The sequence below is a fragment of the Homo sapiens genome, chromosome 11 (genome assembly GCF_000001405.40).
Source record: "Homo sapiens chromosome 11, GRCh38.p14 Primary Assembly".
NCBI classification, from domain to species: Eukaryota; Metazoa; Chordata; class Mammalia; order Primates; family Hominidae; genus Homo; species Homo sapiens.
In genome coordinates this window covers 131,990,788-132,010,098 of record NC_000011.10, presented here as the reverse complement: position 1 = coordinate 132,010,098, position 19,311 = coordinate 131,990,788, and the positions used below count along the sequence as shown (strand labels likewise).

General features: G+C 42.7%; 1 protein-coding gene across 41 annotated transcripts in view, besides 1 other annotated feature; it reads right to left on the bottom strand.

Annotated features, from left to right (window-relative positions):
- The window catches only part of NTM (neurotrimin), a 966,208-nt gene that overhangs the window by 326,724 nt on the left and 620,173 nt on the right, over window positions 1–19,311 (bottom strand). For 2 of the 41 annotated variants that reach the window (NR_170354.1, NM_001386965.1), the window contains exons 3-4: window positions 10,010–10,085; window positions 8,563–8,643 (exon numbers count right to left, since the gene is read on the bottom strand). The exons of 37 other annotated variants lie outside the window; for them this stretch is intronic. Coding sequence is in view for 2 of the 4 variants with exons in the window: in NM_001386965.1 (NP_001373894.1) it covers window positions 8,563–8,624 (62 nt within the window). In the remaining 2 variants the exon portion in view is untranslated. The remainder of the gene's footprint in view (window positions 1–8,562; window positions 8,644–10,009; window positions 10,086–19,311) is intronic. 2 more of the 41 variants (NR_170346.1, NM_001386964.1) reach the window with 1 other exon arrangement.
- Window positions 11,616–12,044: an enhancer, noted in NCBI's record as "VISTA enhancer hs335". NCBI's record gives its function as "enhancer in: limb[5/7]" and the evidence as "EXISTENCE:transgenic organism evidence [ECO:0001131][PMID:17130149]".

The window sequence follows — 19,311 nt, the reverse complement described above, 5'->3', positions numbered from 1 at the left end:
TTTTCTAAAAATTCCAAAATTATCTGTATTGATCTCTACAATCTAGTGACTTAAGAAATTGTCTGTCCATTTTCTTCACTCATGCTGTGCAGAATTGATATAACGTGTATTCGGTCAGCTCAGTGACCTTCCACGGCCATTTGAGCCACACATTCAGCAGTGAACTCAGAAAAAAAGGGTAACCTTCTCTGAGGGGCAAGTTCCTTAAACCACAAAATATGGTCTCTCTTCTCCATCCTTCTGTTCCTCTGAGAACCAGCATCATGATCACCTTCCTACAAAATTGAAAAGGCAAAACACACCGATGACGGATGTTTTTAATCACAAATGTAATAACCCATCACGTCTCATGACAAAGAAAGAGGTCAACAGGGAGGCAATTTGGTCTAGGAGTTTAATAAAAGCACGCTTTCCTTGGAAGCAGTCTTATAATGCCATCTTCCAAGTGTGGCGTGCAAAACAGAGTGCACGAAAGCAGTGCACCGGAATTAGGGCTCCAAAGACGTCCCTGGGGGCTTGTGCTCCATTCTCAGGACTGTCAGAAAGCCTCAGAGCTGCCGGGATGGCACAGCCAGGGCACTGGACCAGGCACAGTGTCAGTGCCAGAAACGACATCCCTTTCCACATCACTGTCTGCAGTAGGATTTTATTCCCTTTCTTCTGCTCACACTCTTTCTCTTAGGCTCAATCTGGCTTTACATCGGCACATACATACCCATCTGACAGGCTCTCCCATGAAATTTGCTGTTCCAATCTCAAACTGTCCCCCAGCTTAAAGACAGCCAGGTACACAATGAGGAGTAGGTCAGTAAAAGTCAGGGAAAATTAGGACACTTCCCTGGGTGGCAGGAATTAACTTACAGGACTCTTGCAGGCACAGGCGTATTTCAGGGGAGCACACTGTGTGTTTAAAAATGCTTTAGAAAAGCAGGTTTCCAATTGTAGCTTTTCCTAACAAAAGACAGGGAGACTTCTGCCAGAGGTAAAGCTTCCAGGCTGATGGCAGAGGGAGGGCTGGACCATCAGTCAGCGGGAAGCAGAGTGTGTGCAGGACACATTCCCCACAGCGCTGATCTGGTGTCTGCCTGCCTTTCTTTCAGGATGTGGATTTCTGCCTTGGTGTCCTGCTGGTGAATTCTCTCCAGTTATAAAACATTTTGTTACCTTCATTCGCTCTTAATTAAAAAGGGAAAAGAAACTCCTAGGGCTCTGACAACAGGAAAAAAAAAAAAGAAAACAAGGAAAGAAAGAAAAGGAAAAGAAAAAAGGAAAGAAAGGAAAAAAATGAAGAGCTCTTTGAGTTGCTGAAATCAAACGGTCAGATAACCTGATGTGGCAAGACAGAAAGGACAAAAAAAACAAAAACCATGGAGTCATTGAAAATGATTTTAATCTTTGTGAGCAATGTGGATTCTGTGAAACAGACATGTTTTCAGGGGGAAATGGGGAGCATTTGTAATGCCAGGGAGGAAAGGTATAAGATTCACAGACAGAGGCTCCAAACCCCTCAGCACTCACATCTGGTGTTCATTCCCCACACTTCTTAGGCTACTAGATGGTTCATTCTTTCCACAAATATCTATAAAAACCTGTCATAGACTCCACACTATACTAACGCTTTAACATTCAGAATCTTAGAAAAAAGTAAATACATAGTCAGCAATATTGATAGTTTTAATTTCCTGAGTCCTATCTGAGGTCAGCTATATTAGGCACTTGACATTCATGGTCTCTTGATCCTCACACAAGTCCTGCCAGGAGGGACAAAGACCTTAAGCATATGGATGGAAAACCAAGACTCAGAAAGATTAAAGTCAGGACAATAGAATTTTACAAATGCAAACCTTGTCCAAAGAGATGCATCCCATAAGTGGCGAGGGGTAAAGTGAGCGTTTGTTCTCTCATCTGTCTTAGACAACAGTCCACCACGTCATGATCCCCATACAGTGGAGTCAAGAGCTAACCCCAATTCCCTGCTTAGTCACACTGTGCCCCCTCTTGCCTTGCTTCATTTGGGGCCTGAACAGAGGACTAGGTGTATTTCCCCAAATTCCTTGTTACAGTATAAGGCTTATTCTAAAATCGAAGCAACGCCCACCTAACATTTTCCTTTCTACTCCTCATAGCCCTTCCCTTCTTTGACCTCCCTTATATCAACTCTAACTCCATCCAGGGTTATTCTCACCATCTACCTTTTACCTCCATTCTCAAGTTGCAGAGATTTCTAGGCAAAAAATTCATCCTCAGTTGGCCCCTCACTTTGTCCCCCAGGACAAAGGCAAGCTTTGTGTTTTAGCTGACCTGAGATGAAAATCCAGCTCTGTTGGACTCTATGTTTGATGCTCTGAATTATGATGTGCCCCAAACTCATAAAACCTGATACACAAACACAATTCACAAAGCAAATGCAAATCAGGTGGATGATTATTCCTTCACAAAAGGATTCACCATAGATTTCTTTAAATAGTAAGCTTCTCTGATGCACTTATGATATGACTTGATTTTTCCCCCAGGGATACACTCTTTGCATAAATAAAGCAAAGCAGGCTGCAACAAAAGAGAGCATCAGAAATATCTGCCTGGAAACCTCACATTTCAGGGCTGTTTACTGAGTCCATAGCTGTTGACAGGCCCCAAATCACAAGTTGCTGTGCTTCGTAACGCTCAGCAGGAGTTATGCCCTCCTGACTCTCCTAGTGACCTAGTGTCCTGCTGTGCAGCCTGGCATCAGCTGGCGGTCTTATTTGTGCTCTTAAGTGATCCTGGGATGAATGAGCACCATTCCCTTATTGCCACTTATCCAAACTACCCTGTAGAATGTTCACCTTCAAAAATAAAGGGCCACTGAATAAAAGCCTTCAATTCCTGGCTAGGTTTTGCATTAAGATCAGACTCTGTAACAGTCAGGATAAGTAGGTTATGCCGAAATCGTCAACAACATGAAAGTCTCAGTGACTATTTCTCATTCACAGTAGACATCCATCACAGGTGTGACAGGGAGGAGCTTTTTTCATCCATTCACTCAGGAACCCCCAGTGGGGCAGTCACAGTCTTGAAAGTCACTGGATGTCATGACAGAGGAAAGAGAGTGCCCAGGAGGGTCTCGCACTGGAAGTAAAATGTTTAGCCCACCCACAGGGTGACACACGTCATTTGTAGCTGCCTCTCATTGGCCAGCACTAGTCAATGTTCTTCTCCACAAAGGAGGAAGTACAATCCTACCACAGGAAGTGCTCAGGAAGTGGCACCCATGATCACCATAGGCCCACAGTGGTGCCCCAGGCTATTCTATAACCACAGAGGACAAGGGGCTTGAGATCCTGATACTGTGGAGGACAAATGCATCACAATAGTTCTGTTTGACCTGGTCTACACTCATTCTTTGGAGGAGATTCCTAGTTATATCCCTGATTACACCAGCCTCATAAGCCTCACCCCCAAAGGAAATGACTGCAGAGCTCTCCTGAATTTAGAATAGGTGCCTAGGCACACACTGCTTTGTGGACTGCCTCTTCCAGGGCTGTCTTTAAGTCTGAGAATGAGGTTTTATGTGCTTTGCTGAAGTTCCCAGTCCTGCAGAGACACCTTTGTCCTACGATGTTCTTGCAATAAAGCCTTTAATCTATTTCAAAAAGAGGCTGCCTTCTCATATTCTCTTGGCTCTTCTCATTGTTGGGTTATTATTTTCCTCTTTTTTATGTAGATTGAAACATTTTCTGCTTCCCAAATTTTCCCTCCCTCTGCTAGCTTTTTCACACAGAAGGAAGGGAAAAAAACCACAAACAAATAAAACTGTTTCTGTTAAATCAATGGCCATCCCTCTCCCCTCAAGCTTTCTCGCCATTTTTGAGTTGAGAGATGCGGGTGCTAGGTCTCCCTGGGTTTTATTTTCAAGCCATGGAAAGATTACAAGGTAGATTTCTGTCAACTCCTACACATCCTTGAATGCGAACACCAAGCACTCTTATTAAAGGAGTTGTCAAGATGCATTAGCCAAATGGGATGAGGCTTCCAAAGAGAAGCATGCCTAATCAGATGAGGGGAAGGGAAAGGGGCTGTATTTCTGACAAGATAATAATGCAGAGATGTCTCTTATCCACATGAATGGGCCACAGGGAAAACACTAATAATTGAAACACGCAAATGTGGTTAAAATCTTTACCTTTTATTTCTTCAAAACCTAGGTTATTGTTGTTTTAAAATTTTCTAACAAAAAAGAAGCATTTTCTTTAGGGAAACAGGAGGGATTTGAGTTAGAAAGGTAGTTTGTTAAGTCTAGGTGAGCTAATAATGTATGCTAAGGAAACTGCTGTGGGCAGATGCAGGTGAAACAGAAAATGGGAGGAATAAGGACTGAGCACCTCTTTCCTCTCTCAAAAAGAGAAAAGGAAGAGATAGAAATATGAAAACAACACCACACAATTAGCATGTTGGATGGTAGGATATGAAAATGGAAAAGGGAGATGGAAACTTCTTAGAATCCCCACTATCTGTCAGGAGTAATACATAAAATTACCTCATTTAATACACACAACAAATTGATGAGATATCATTCATATATCCCTTCCTTCCAACATTCATTCATTCATCTTTCACTCATTCAATCATTTATTCCAAACCATTTAACTAGGGTCCTACTATCTATCTGTCTGCCACAATGCAAGTAGCTGATGACAAAGAGAAAACAGAGCTCCTGCCTTCAAGTCGTCTACCATCCAGTAAAGACAATGTCCACAGAATAAGGAAACTGAGACTCAGAAAATGTGTCTTACCTAAGGTTTTGTAGATATTCATCACCCAAGAGAAGATTTATTCTCCAGTCTTTCTGACACCATCTAAACCCAAACTACTCAATTCTGGCCAGCTATCACACTCAGCTGATGGGATTCCATCCCCAGAGGTGCAGAATGACAATCTCCATGCATGGGACCTGGAGAGTGATATTTTTTTAGACTCCCTTACTAGGCTTAATCTAATGACCAGCTGTGTCAATACTATGATTTCATAGTGCCATCCTCTGCCCCTTTACCATCCCTGCACTGATCCTGAGCCATCAACTATAACGTTTTCACATCACTTGCAGAAGAATACTGAAGTTGGCTTAGTCCTAGCATCCCGTTGTCATTCTGCGTGGTAAGGTAAAGAAGTAGCAATTTTTGCAAATATCATCCATTCTAAATGCAACTATTAAAACTGTCAGCAATTTCATATTTCAAACATCTCTCCATGCTGCTCAAAGGACTACCAATAATGTCATTACTTAAAAGTCCCCAAGGAGAGCAGTTCTTTTAATCTTACTGTCCACAGCTCCTTGAAAGCTGAATCAATCCCCTAGGTACCATGAACATCAGAAGCTCTGAATGATTGTGATCCTACCACACATATGCTGATGTTCCAGCTGATACAATGCACCTGTGTATGTGTCTATGTGTGTGTGTGTGTGTTGTGTGTGTGTGTGTGTGTGAGAGAGAGAGAGAGAGAGAGAGAGAGAGAAAGAGAGAAAGAGAGAGAAACTTCTTTGGAACCATATAAGATTTCTGCTAACCTATTACAGAGGACACTAATAAAGGGAAATCAGGTTTCCAAGTGGACAATAAAGTAGCACAAAGATATCAATGGTCATTGAGGAAGTTAACCAGACAAGAGAAGAGAGATCTTTCAAAGATGAACCACAGGAAAATGCATTTGCACAGGGATCAGGCTATAATAAAGAAAGAGGTGCTGGAAACCAGCTTCTACTTTTTACTTAGTAAATGAGACATATTTTGACAGATGTAATGAGATTAAAGGCAGGAGTGGATTTAAAGCAATTCAAAATGGTATCTGTATTTTGAATATATATAATTCACATTTTCTTATTGAGAATAGCCTAGAAAAGTGTTGTGGTAAAAAGTGGCAACCTAAGTTACCTTTTGCCACCATCTTTACTCTCCCAATGCCCCCCTCATTCCCCTGACACACACAAATATTCTCTTTCCTTTCTTCCCTTCCCTCCCCTATAATTCCCTTTGGTATAAACATTCTAAATTATTTATATCTAGGTTGAAGGCAGCCTTTAGTCTGACTGGGACCACAGCAATCAAAATATAATTGTGCTATAGATATGCTAATACATTATGCTAATGGTTGATTAAGGAGACGATGAAACCTGAACAATGAGGATGGGGCTCTGGGCCATCGAGTGGCTAAAGAATGTTCAAAAAGAAGTCTACATGAGAATCTTGACCTTTTAGATAATCTGTGTGGCTAGGTGAGAAATCAATTTTAAACAACATCTCAATGAAGCTGGTTCTGTAAGTGGCAGGTCCAGAAAAAGTAAAGCTCAGGGATTTCTCTGTGTAGATTCCAAGGAGGCAATTAAGGAGGGTTTTGTACCATGGGAAAGAGTGGGCTCCATGTGGGACATGTGATTGAGCTACAGACAGACCTACCAGGAAAAGCCTTTTCTTCTTGAGTGAACAACAGAGCTGAGCTGAAAGCACATTCTCAAAGTGTGGTCCCCAGACCACAAGGATCAGTTTTACCCAGGAACTTGTTAAAAATGCAAATCATGGGCCAGGCGCAGTGGCTAATGCTTATAATCCCAGCACATTGGAGGTCTGAGCCAGAAGGATCGCTTGAGCCCAGGAACTCAAGAGCAGCCTGGGAAATATAAGGACAGTCTGTCTCTACATAAAATTTAAAAATTAGCCAGACATAGTGGTGCACACCTGTGGTCCCAGCTACTAGGGAGGCTGAGGTGTGAGGATCATTTGAGCCCAGGAGGTTGAGGCTGCAGTAAGCTGTGATTGCGTCACTGCACTCCAACCTGGGCAACAAATAACCTGTCAAAAAAAAAAAAGAAAAAAAAACTCTAAGGGTGTGGGTGGAGGAATCCGGATTCAACAAGCCTCCAGGTGTTTCTGAAGTGCACCACTGGCAGAGCGAAATAACTCTGGCTCAGAACCGGGCTAGCATTAGGGTGAAGGAGGAAATATAAGCAGAATTGACTATAAAAGTCAATTACACACACAACTGTGGCAGCGCATCTTACTGTTTAGTGCGCTCACTAGTTACTTTCCTAACCCTAACTTCTAAGCCAGAAATCAGCTGCTGCTCAGGAACTTTGACAGGCGGACAGTAAAAGCTTCTTGAAGACAAAGGTTTTTCCTGTTTCCTCTTTTTTAATAGTAATTTCTGTTATTAACAGTAAACAGTAATAATGGCTGCTAACATTGGCTAAGAGCTTGCTATGTGCAGGCTTTGTTCTAGGACTTTAAATGTATAAAACTCAATCTTCAACTTTAATAAATCGTTACTATGATTTCCTCCACTTTTCCCAATGAGTTTATTGATAAAGAGACAGAGTAAGGAAGTGGCAGAACTTGAATTCAAACCCAGGCATTGTATTGCCACAAAATTTAGTAGACTGACATTCCTAACGAGAGGAATGATTCAGGAGAAGCATGGATACTAAGAGAAAAAGAAAAAACAAAACATAAGTTTGGGGATACTAGAGGCAGAAAGTTATTCAAGCAATGGCCAGAAGCCTCCAATTTGGGGGACAGACACCAACACATCATTTCATTCTTCTACATAGTATTTGCAGAGTAGTAATTGTATTTGCTTATGATGAATTGAGACGTAGGGTTAATTGTTGATCACTGACACTCAAAATTCTCATTCTTATCCTATTCAACCAAAATTTCCCCTTCTGTTACCTTCCCAACTCAGTTGCTTATTAGAAAACTCCCATTTCTGAATTCTTATTAAAATATATGATACACCAGCATATTAATGTTCCAAATAACTAAATAATTATTAAATTTCATCGCTTTTGTACAGTAAAGCTGCCACAAATAGCTCACAAGACAAGTCCAGCCAAATACCAAGTCACTTCCCTATTCAAAACCTTCAGTGACTCTCTGTTGCCAATGGAGAAAAGTCCAATACCTTTAATCGGACATTTGAAGAGCCTCCACCCTCTTCAGGCAGCATAATTTCCAGCCCCGGTTGCCATGGACAGCATCAACTCTCCACCCCTGTGAGCCTAATTCATTAACTGATTCTGATTCCTCTTTGGCTGTCCCTGCCATTGCTTTTATTCAAGTTTTTCTACACATGAGGCTTCACCTCTCCATATCTTACCCATTCTCCTTATCCACTCATTCGCCTCCTCTCTGCAGCTTTCCTTGGCCATCCATACCTGTCTAATTACACTCTCCTCTACATCCATCATTGTTTGTCCTTAATATCATTTGGCAATTGCTCAAGTATGGTTTTGTCATCTCATTTTACACTGTTGACCGATTGTGTGTATGTGTGTGTGTGTGTGTGTGTGTGCCTGTCTGTGTGTATATGCATGATATAGTTTGAATACATGTCCCTGCCAAATCTTATGCTGAATTACAATCCCCAGTGTTTGGCATAGGGCCTGGTGGGAGATGTTTGGGTAATGGGGGGAGATCCCTCAGAGCTTCGGGCTGTCCTCATGAGATCTGTTGTTGGGGTATGGTACCTCCTCCCCACCCTCTCTCTCCTGCTTCCTCTCTCACCATGTGGAGATACTTGCTTCCCCTTTACCTTTTGCCATGGTTGAAAGCTTCCTGAGGCCTCCCCAGAAGCCAAGCAGATGCCGGTGCCATGCTTTGCTTCCTGTACAGCCTGAAGAAACAGGAGCCAATTAAACCTCTTTTCTTTATACATTATCCAATTTCAGGTATATCTTTATAGTAATGCCAGAATGGCCTCACACAACAGCTTACTATAAATCAGCCTTTATATATGTTTATGCCCTATGTATACAAGAAAATTTCTTATCCTTAAAAAGTGGTACTAAGATACCATCTTTGCATCATCTTTGTATTTCTTCTACACCCAGTATACTCTTGTACACAGCAGGCATTCAGTATTTGCTAAACTTAAAGGGACCACAATGCCCTACTTTGATATGGAATCATACAATGCCGCTTTTTTTCTTTAGCAACCTCAAACTCATGTTTTGCAACCTGCAAAACAAACGCTCCTCACAATATGCTTCCTGGATTCCTCTTCAGACTCTTTTCTGCTCAAGACCTTTCCCACCTATTCTTCTTTGGCAGATGACTATGAATGCTACACACATACCACGCTGTTCTATGTTTCTGGGAATTTCCTACTTCGCTTTATCTACCTGGAATGCCCTTTCCTTATTCTTTCCTCCTGAGAAAAATCCAGGTAAGATAAACGCCAGTAAAAAGTCATTTCTTACCCTTACTTCCTCCTGATATATCATTGCATATTCCACAGTGTTTAGTAAGTAATTGATTACATTTTTTCCTGTTCTATTTGTTTATGAATTCCAAGATGACAGAGACTATTTCTTATTTATCTCCATGTCCCCTGGTACCAGCATGGTACTCAGCACATAGTCTATGCTTTGTGTGTTGAGGGAGTGAACAAATAAATGCAAGATGAAATATAGAGGAACGATCAAAGCAGACTTTTATAAATGTCTGAAGGAGTCTGTCATTAGTCCAGAACAGAGTGAGATAAAATCATGCCACACAATGGGATAGAGGGGCACATAATATGAAAAATGTACTTGTACACATTCACCCCAAATGCTTTGCACATTGAAGTCATATCCTCCGTAATTCATTTGCATGGCTGAAATCCCCTTGGGAACATGCTTATGGTAAATAAACTGAAACAACCTCCTCAGGAAGAATAGCATGAGGATAATGAAAGAAGGAGTAGCAAAAACCACATTGAAAGATGAGCGTTTGCAAAGAGACAAGGAGTTGATGATATGGAAATCTTTTGCTGGCCACAGAACTCCCCCAAGGATTGACAAAGGAGTGTCAGATATGTGCCTATCTTTGGGAGGAGGCTATTGGAACAGGGCAGTAAGCTCAGCCTAGAAATCAGAGCCCTTGAGAAAGACAATGGGAAAGGCAGGGACTGTCTGGGAGTGTGTGCAGTAGAAGCCTTGCCTGGCTTCCAGGTGGGCTGAGGGCTGCTCTGAGGCAGGAAGTCAGCCTGTGCTCACCTGAATGTACCGATATAACTCCAAGAGTTGCTTTGGTTCAGGGTTCCCTTGATGTCTTATGAGAGATTTGATTAGGCTAGGTGGAAGGGGAAAAAAGAAAAAGAAAAGAAAAAAAGTCATGTTAGAAATCACTAGTACGCAGGAAGGGGAGGAGGAGAGGAAGAAGAGCGAAATCAACCGTGAAAAAGAGAAAGGGAAATATAGCCAGAGATGTATAAAGCCTGTCAAATCTCTCCAAACTGTAACAAAAGCATGGGAGAGATAGTTTCTCTTTAATGAATGCTTTGATCAGCCACAGTTGATATAATAATTATATAAAACTAGAGCAAGACAGAAATAAGATGTGTTTTTCTCTCACATAGCCTGTAACCTTTGTGATTGGTTCATTTATTTAAGAAAAGAACAAGGCTCTTCAAAACAGAGGCATATGTCAGAAGAGAACCTGTTTTCTCCACTAACTTATGCAGGAAATTTGCAGCAAAGACTGCGTCCCTTTTCCTCCCTGCTCTGGAAGGAAGGGAGCATCTACCAGCCATGACTCTGAAAGTGAACTAATGGTGGTGGAGTCTTCCTCACATGTATCTTGGTCTTATTTCTCAGGCTAATGCCTTCTCCTAACCCACAGCTTGACAGTACCTTCTTTTCTTCCTTTCTTACCCCAAACTGTTCTCCCTACTTCAGTTGGCTCTCCTAACAGTTGACATCAGTCGGGCATTGCTCAAGTACTAAGATACCTCGTGCTGCTTGAATTATTGACTTGGCTAAGATCCAGAAAGGGAGGAGTAAGCATCATTTTTTTCAGAATGGTACTCCCACAAGCACACGTGCTTTTTAGAAATAGCAAGGGAAAGAGGTGGTTGCCATGGGAACAGAGGCGGACACACAAACAGGAGTAGCACATTGCAGGGACCCCTCCTTGCTTCTGCACCCTCAGAGCCTCTCCTGAAAGCTTTCTCCACCTGCGAAGGAAGAGCACACACGATGGTAATGGTTAAACTTCCACATCACAAATGAAGAGTATGCTTGATCCTCAGGTTGTCAGCATGGCAGTTCAGCTGGGGCTGAGTGATTCTGGATCTGGAAAGAAGGGAAGAGAAAACAATGTCTGCTTCTCCAATCAGTGTCTTGGAAATCCGCCAGACTGGTGATATATTTGAGCCACAAGCTCCTAAAAAGTTGAAATGGCACAAAACACAGCAGTCTCCCATAATACCCACGCTGGTATGGTTCTCTGCCAGGCATAACCAGTGGGAAATTAGGATGGGTCCTGAGAATGGCATCCCCACCGATCATTCTTGCCCTGCACTGGCCCACTGTAGGGGTATAACAGATATACCAAGGCAACAGTAGAAAGAAGGTAAGGCAAGAAGGCCATGTATAGGGAGATGGGATGTGGGGACCAATGGGGAGAAAGCAGGCTGTAGTCTGTAGTACCTGTGGCCAGGGTGACCGACGGAGTATGAGATTGTGTCTCTCTAACAATTGAATTGAAAAATAAGTCAATCTGGTTTTAAAGATCAGGTTTTTGGAAATTTAAAAAAAAGTCAACCAGCTACGTGGTAAAATGCATAAAAACAGCTGGTTAAGTACTATCCCCTTTGCAAAGAATGGCTTCAGGAAATGGTGGAGGGCTGGCCAGGGTGGCCCCAAGCAGAGCCTTGCCTGTGTGGTAGGACAAGGGGGGCCCAGGATGCAGCAGAGCTAGAAGCCTTCCCCCTGCCACATGCCGGATACTGATTTATTGGGACTGGAACAATTTGTCTAAAGCTGTAATTTTAACTACCTCCGTGCTGAGCAGCCAATCAGTGGGCTCACTCCACGCAGCTTTTACGAGTCCCCATAAAAGCAGCAAAATGAAAACTCAGGGGCCCTTAAAATATACTCCAAGGGTTTCTGCAGTGCAATTGGAGGCTTTTATGACTCCTGTCAGGACTTTTATGACCCCGTAAAACCAGGCAGCAGCCTGGCCTGAGATGAAAAGTGGCCCCACTGTCTTAAAGTCTAAATGGTCTGTACATTTACAAGGCCTCCAGGAAAGAGGAGGGGAACACCATGGGGTGGGAGGGGTTGCCTTGAGCAAAGGTGGGTCCTGGGGTGGAAGAACCAGGGAGTGAGGGGAGGGGCGGAAAGGAAGCAAGGGGAGGTGGGAGAGAGGGAGGAGAGGTGCATATGAGCCTGGCTTTAGGGTTCTTCAGCAGTTCAAAGCACTGAAATGCCAAAACCCCAGTACTATTCACCACACACAATGGTAGTTGAAGGTTCTACAGGCAGCCTCATAGCTAACAGGGTCTGGGCAAATGCCACCTTCATTGGAAAGATGAAAAATGAAGCTGCCAGGGAATCACAGGCTCGAGAGCACTTTTTCAAGGGCATCTTCCAATTATTGTGACAGCTGCATTCCAGGAAGAAAAAAGAAAGAGAGCGAAAAGATAAAAAGGAAAAGAAAATGGAGAGAAACACAGTTCAGATCATTACAAGTGTTCCACATGGTTCAGAAAATTTGTCAATGATGGTGTGAACACCTTTTTATCCAGCCACAGCCTGTGCTATGCCTGCAAACCCACTGCCCGCATGCTCACCACCACCATGCCAGCTCTTAGCTGAGGCCCATCGAGGGTCCTTTCAAGTCACGATTACTGAGACAATGTGATCCTGTGCCTTGATCTGGAGTCTTAAATCTTCTTCTAAACTTATTAGCCTGGCCCAGTGTTCCGCACGTACCCAGAAAAAGCCAGAGTCATCCTGCAGAAGTCATAGACAGAGGAACAGGAATGATGCAGTATGGCCATTCCTAGCAGAAGCACACTGAGGGGTAATCTGCCCTCCAGGCAGGGCGAGAGGCTGGGTGGGCCAGGGGCATGAGTTTCTGCAAAGCCACTCTGGCTGTCAAGCCCCTACATACAGAACCCAAACAAGCAGGAGAAGTGATGTATGCTGACTTTAGACCTCAGAGAATATCAAAGAAACAGAGGTAACAGTGTTTTAAAATGCCCAGGGTAGAGTCCAGCTGCAGCTGTTAGGCCAGCCTAGCAGCCAGCCCAGGAGAGGCCATGGTGAAGCTGACCATGTTCATAAAGTGATTGATCATGGAGGCTATGGGTTGTCCAGGCTGGGAAGGAGAGAAAGGTAGGAAGCCAGTGATATGTTTGGATGAACTATTGGGTGAATTCCCATTTACAGGAGTGTTTCCCTCCATCTAGAGGGGCGGGGATGTGGCAGAGCAAGGAAGGAGATGCTTCAGAATGCAGGCTGGGGAGAGTCCTGGCAGAGCATAAACACACTCCCAGGGAGCCAGGTGTGCCTCAGAGGGGGCTGGCAGCAATGACACCGAACTGGCAATGATTCCTCCTTAATCACTCATGCTTCCAGGAACCTTGAAGAGTGGCGGGTAAAGCAAGTATGAAGACGACAAGACCCAGCTGTAAATCCCAAGACACCACTATGTGTCACTGGGCAAGTCCTTAATCTTTCTGAGCCACTTCCTCAACTGTAAAGTGGAGATAAAACATTTGCCTCATATGGCTGCTCTAAGGATTAGAGAAGATAAGGTGTGTAGGTGGGATTTGAGTAGCATCTTAATGAATGGACGGGAGTTTTCCAGCACCTACAGAGAAGAGCTGAAATTTCAGGTAGAGGGAACTGCACAGTGGCAGGCGATATAAAAGAACAACCCACATTTCAGATACAGACATCTGTTATGCCTAGCGCGTCCATCTCTTGTAGTGGATATGTACATATTAATTTACTCTACATGTGTGTCAGGCGCTGTGCTGGGTATGGCAGGTGCAGGGGAGGGGGTCAGGGGAACAGCAGGGTGACTGCTTTTCTTTCCTTAACTTTTGGACTCATCCAATCCATTCCTCTCACAACCCTTAGCATCCTGTACTTAAAACACAGATTGATCATGTCCCTACTGAAAACTCTTCAGATGTGTGATGCAACCCATAAGAGAAAGTCCAAATTCTTTAGGGCAGTCCCCCTGAAACTGGCCCAATTTCCCTATAGAATTTATGTTTATGTATTTTTTAATTAACATGGAAATTAATGCTCCCAGTCTTAAAGCTTGAAACTGACATTTGTTTTATCTGAGTTCCTTTCTCAGGAAACTGACCCTCAGGCCTCCCAGATAATGTCGAGGAACTGAAACTCACCAGGTCACCACATGCAGACAATGAGATGCCAGACCCCTCATTCAGCAGGACTGCTCCCTTACCTGCCTTAATTCCTATTTTCCTGCATGTAGCTACATTCATTTTCCACTGTAGAAACCCCCAATTTTAGTTGATTGGGGAAAGATGAATTTAAGACTGATCTGTCTCCTGGGCTGATGACACCTGAATAAAGCCGTCTTTGTTGGCTTCATTCGTTGTCTTGGTGGTTGGCTTTCTGTGTAGCAAGCAACAGGACCTAGACCAAACCCCTGGCATTTCAGTAACATGCCCAAGCCAACATGATCTGGCCCCTGCTGAGCACCAGTCTCCTCTCTCAGCCTTGGCCCCGCTTCCCCATCTCACACTCTCTTCCACTTGGGATCTTGGCACATGCCCTGCTCCCCTACAACTTTGCCTGGCTGACTCCTCATTCTTGATGCCTCAGCCTCAGCACAGCTTCCTTTGAGAAGCCTCAATGATACCACCACAGCACCCAGACCAAACCAGATGCACAGTTACACAGTTCCATCCCTCCAGGTCCTTCTTTCAGACACTCACTAGATCCTCAACCTTCCATTCCGTTGTTGTAGTCTGCAGTAGAATGGCAGTCCCATCAGAGCAAGGGTGCTTGCATCCTAGCACCTGGACCACTGTGTGGCACAAAGAATGAAAAATTTAGATTCTGTTAAATATTGCTGAATAGGCCTAGATTGAAAACAGGTAAAGAAGATGTTTCATGACCTGCTAAGTGCTTAGATCATAACCCATCCTTACCATGGATCATCCATGACTGAAGCAGGACTTGGGCTTAAAGGAGATAGAAAGGTGAGATTGGGCATGCTGTGCAGGGTGCACTAGAGGACAGGGGGATCTAAGGCAGGCAGTCTGGCTCATTTCAATAATGCAAATAAGAGGGAACAACAGTCTGAACTACCACAGTGGCAGCATAAATGCACATGGCAGATAAAAGACATTACAAATAAACTGCAAACAATGAGGAATAAGAGAGGGGGAGGAATCTAGGACAGCTTTTAGGTATCTAGTGAATAGGTGCATAATGAGTTTAGGAGTAGAAATTCAGAATATGAAGTTGGATACAGAGTCCAGTTTGGGCCTTGTTAATATGAGGTATGTGTGAGATATATGGGGGAAATATCCAAACAGCAGCTGGAGAAATAGATCTGGTGTCCAGGGAAGGCCAGAAACATAAACTGGGGAGTTAGTGGCCCAAAAGCTAAAATTACTGAAGTGGGATGAAATAGTCCTAGGTGTCTGTGTAGAGCCACAGGAGGCTAGTGTGCTTATGATGAAACCCTGAAAAATACGAGCATATAAAAAAACAGACAAGAAGTTGCTTCCCTCAACAAAATCTCACCAACACACCCGCTCACATTAGATGCTCCTGTTTCTGTGCACCTTCTAATGATACCACTTGTTTTTGTCCCAGCATGTATTTTGTGCTAATAAACTTTTATTGAGTGCTTACTTGGTTGAGAGGTTAGATATCCCTCCTGAGGGCTCCCCTAATATTGTTTAGACTTCCATCAGCAACTCTCACTTTCTCCTATCATCTTTTTACTTGTCTTTCCATTAAATTGTGAGCTCTTTGAGTCAGAAATTACATATTTCAGAACTCCCTTCCCACCCCTCAGAATGTTTACTCATTGACTGCAAAAGAAGTTTACCATTAGGTAGGGAAGACAGATATGTATGTAAATAACAATAAAGAATACAACTGTTCTTCTCAAGGTAATCACTGACTTGTCACTAGCCAAATCCAATGAGCATGTTTGCAACAAGTGTTTCATACCATTGGCTAATACTGTCTTCTTTAATGTCTTTCTCCACCTTTAGAGACACGAGCTCCCTTGATTTCTATTATGCTGCTGTTTATGTCTTTGTTCTTCTTCTTCTTCTTCTTTTTTTTTTTTTTTGGAGATGGAGTTTCAATCTTGTGGCCCAGATTGGAGTACAATGGCATGATCTCAGCTCACTGCAACCTCTGCCTTCCAGGTTCAAGCAATTCTCCTGCCTCAGCCTCCTGAGTAGCTGGGATTACAGGCACACACCACCGCACCCAGCTAATTTTTTGTATTTTTAGTAGAGATGGGGTTTCTACCATCTTGGCCAGGCTGGTCTCAAACTCCTAACCTCAGGTGATCCACCCTCCACAGCCTCCCAAAGTGCTGAGATTACAGGCATGAGCCACCGCTCAGCCTGTCTCTCCTTTATGGTTGCTCTATTCCATTCTTCTCAATCCCCTTTAATTTTTGTATGTCTCTGAAATTCATAGACTTATTTTCTTTGTTCTTAATTATATCCACCCTAGGAAATCTGCACACACTGTCTTCATCTATCATTTGCAAACAATGATTACAAAAGCATTATCTTTAGCTCAGAATCCCTATATATACAACTGCTTCCTGGACTTGCACAATTGGAGGCCCTGTAGGCATTTCAAACACAAGATGTCAAAACCCAGCTTGTCATCCTCTACTACAAGTCCCATTTCTCCCCCTCCATCACTTAATTACCTCATTACCCAAGCCAAAAACATGGGACTTGTTCTAGATGCATTCCTTGTCCTTCAGATACAACTGATGACAACGAACTGCCTACTCCACCTTCCCGATAGCCCTCCTCTCTGTTTGCATGGCTCCTCCTTTAGGTAAGACCTTTCTCCCCTCCTGGATGACTGCAATGCACTCCCAAGAAGTTGCTTCACCTGCAGCCTCTCTCTCCCAAACTATTTGCCAGTGGGTGTACTATGACGCAAATTGATCCCATGAGGATTTTGTTTTCTTGTTAAGGTTTCCTCTCTTCTAAATTTCTTACAATGTTTCCCAATCTATCTAGGCATTAGAATAACTTACTGAACTTTTATAATCAGGTTCTCAGACCCTGCCCTAGATCTAGCAAATCAGAATACTTAGTGGGTAAACCCCCAGAAGTACTGAGTATGTTTCCCAAACTCCCAGAAGTTAGTATGAGGCACCCTCTCTGTGGATTGGCATTTGGGACCATTTATATAATGGGTATCTTTTGTAAAATTTCCAGTGTCTTTCTCTGGGTATTTCCAATGCAACCATTCCTCTCCAGTCTCATGGTCACAGGAAAAATGCTCTTATGACACAACTCACACCCTGGCCATAGTTACACCAGTGCAAGTGTAGGCACCAGACCCAAGCTAACCAAACAGACTTCCTTTCAAAGTGAATTTGTAAGAGGAACATAGAAAAGTATTCAATCTTTTCAGGCAATTGTGTGTGTAAGATTTAATCTTAGATGCTCTTACTTCTGTGTTCCATCATGTAGATTAGAGAAGTAGAGTAAGCAGTTCTGCATAAAGAGGAGAATAAAAAAGCCATGAGAAAACAGCAGAATTGAGGTCCCTGATGCGATTCCTGTCCTTGGTGCCTGTTTTTGAAGCAAAGTTGTAGTCTTATGTTCATACACCGAGAGCTCATTCTACAGCTGAACTTCGAACAATGTGGGGGTGAGGAGTGTGGACCCCCATGCAGTTGAAAATCCAGGTAGGACTCTGACTCCCCCAAAACTAAATTATTACAGCCAATTGTTGACCAGAAGCCTTACCAGTAACATAGTCAATCAGTACATATTTTGCATGTTATATGTATTGCATTATTGATCATATTTGTATAATAAAGTAATAAACGAGAAAATGTTAAGAAAATCATAGAAAAAAGTAGATTTACTATCAATTCAGTAAGTGAAAGTTAATCATCATAAAACTCTTCATCTTCATAGTCGTCACATCGAGTAGTTTGAGGGGGTGGAGGAAGAGGAGGAACTGGTCTTGCTGTCTCAGGGTGACAGAGGTGGAAGAAAATCTGTGTATAAGTGGATCCATGCAGTTAAAACCCATACTGTTCAAGAATCAACTGTGTATTTTTCATCAGGTTTTCCTTTCTTTCCCAAGTTAGATTGAGTAGGTTTCCATATATACATCCAGAATGATGCAGATTAATAAACACGGACTATAAGCACTTCATGAAAATATGACTTCTGTCTTTACCTGTCCACTATCATCAACCTTTCTCCTCCTCCCAAATTTCCCATATTTCCACCAAGCTTAACTACTTGTCCTGCATGCCTGGACCTGCTGTTTCTTGCCTGCCTTTGTGAATGCAATGGCAGGTACATGTCCAGAATGCATTCCCCCTTTCTTTATCTGGGTAATTAGCCTTATCATCCATGAAGACTTATTTCAAGAACCACTTCATTTAGAAATCCTTACCAGGCCCTTTAAGTGCGGAAAAGTCACTCTTTCCCTGTGTCCTAAAATAGCTACATTTTACATAAAATGTTTATACTTGACATGGCTTTGGTCATGTGGCATCAACACTGACACTTGTCTTGTCTGTTTCTCTCATTTGACTTAAAATGAAGGATATGGGCTATGCTTATGTCCTTGGCTCTCTATTATTTGGCACAGTGTTGGACACATAGAATGTCCTCAATAATGTTTATTAAATGAAAGACTAAAGTAATCATTTAATCAATCACCTATTAATTACTAATTAATCAGAAGAAGATGTCAAAGGGAGAAAAGGATAGAAAAGTGGACTACAGTAACTCAATCTCTGACTCCCAAACAAGACTCTCTTATTGTGGAACTGCTGTTCTCAACTATGCAATGCAAGAGATGCATGGTTATGGCAGGGACAAGAAAGAAGGTAAAAAACAAACAAAACAAAACAAACAAAAAACAACAAAAAAACACCTCTTTTAAGTCCTATTTCAAGGCTATCTATCAAAGATTAGATAACTCATCTCTTCAATAAAAGCTCCTCAGTAGTTAGAATGGCATTGCATCTGCTCCATGGTACATACTACAGTGCTTAATGTATAGTAAACATTAATCGAACTGAATGAGTCGTTGAGCCCATTTATTGTGCAGTACTGGTTTTCCTTGTACCTGAAGTCAGTGTTCTTGTTCAGGTTAGACAGTATGTATATCACACATACAGAAAGTAATTTATCAGGTAACTCGGTTCAGAGCCCGCTCACTATAAAAACAGACTAAGAGTCAAAATGAGATACTATTTTTAATAGAACATATATGTGGAAAATAGTTTATAGAGCTCAGTCCCTGACTCACAGGAGATGAAAATGTGATCCTTTGCTAGC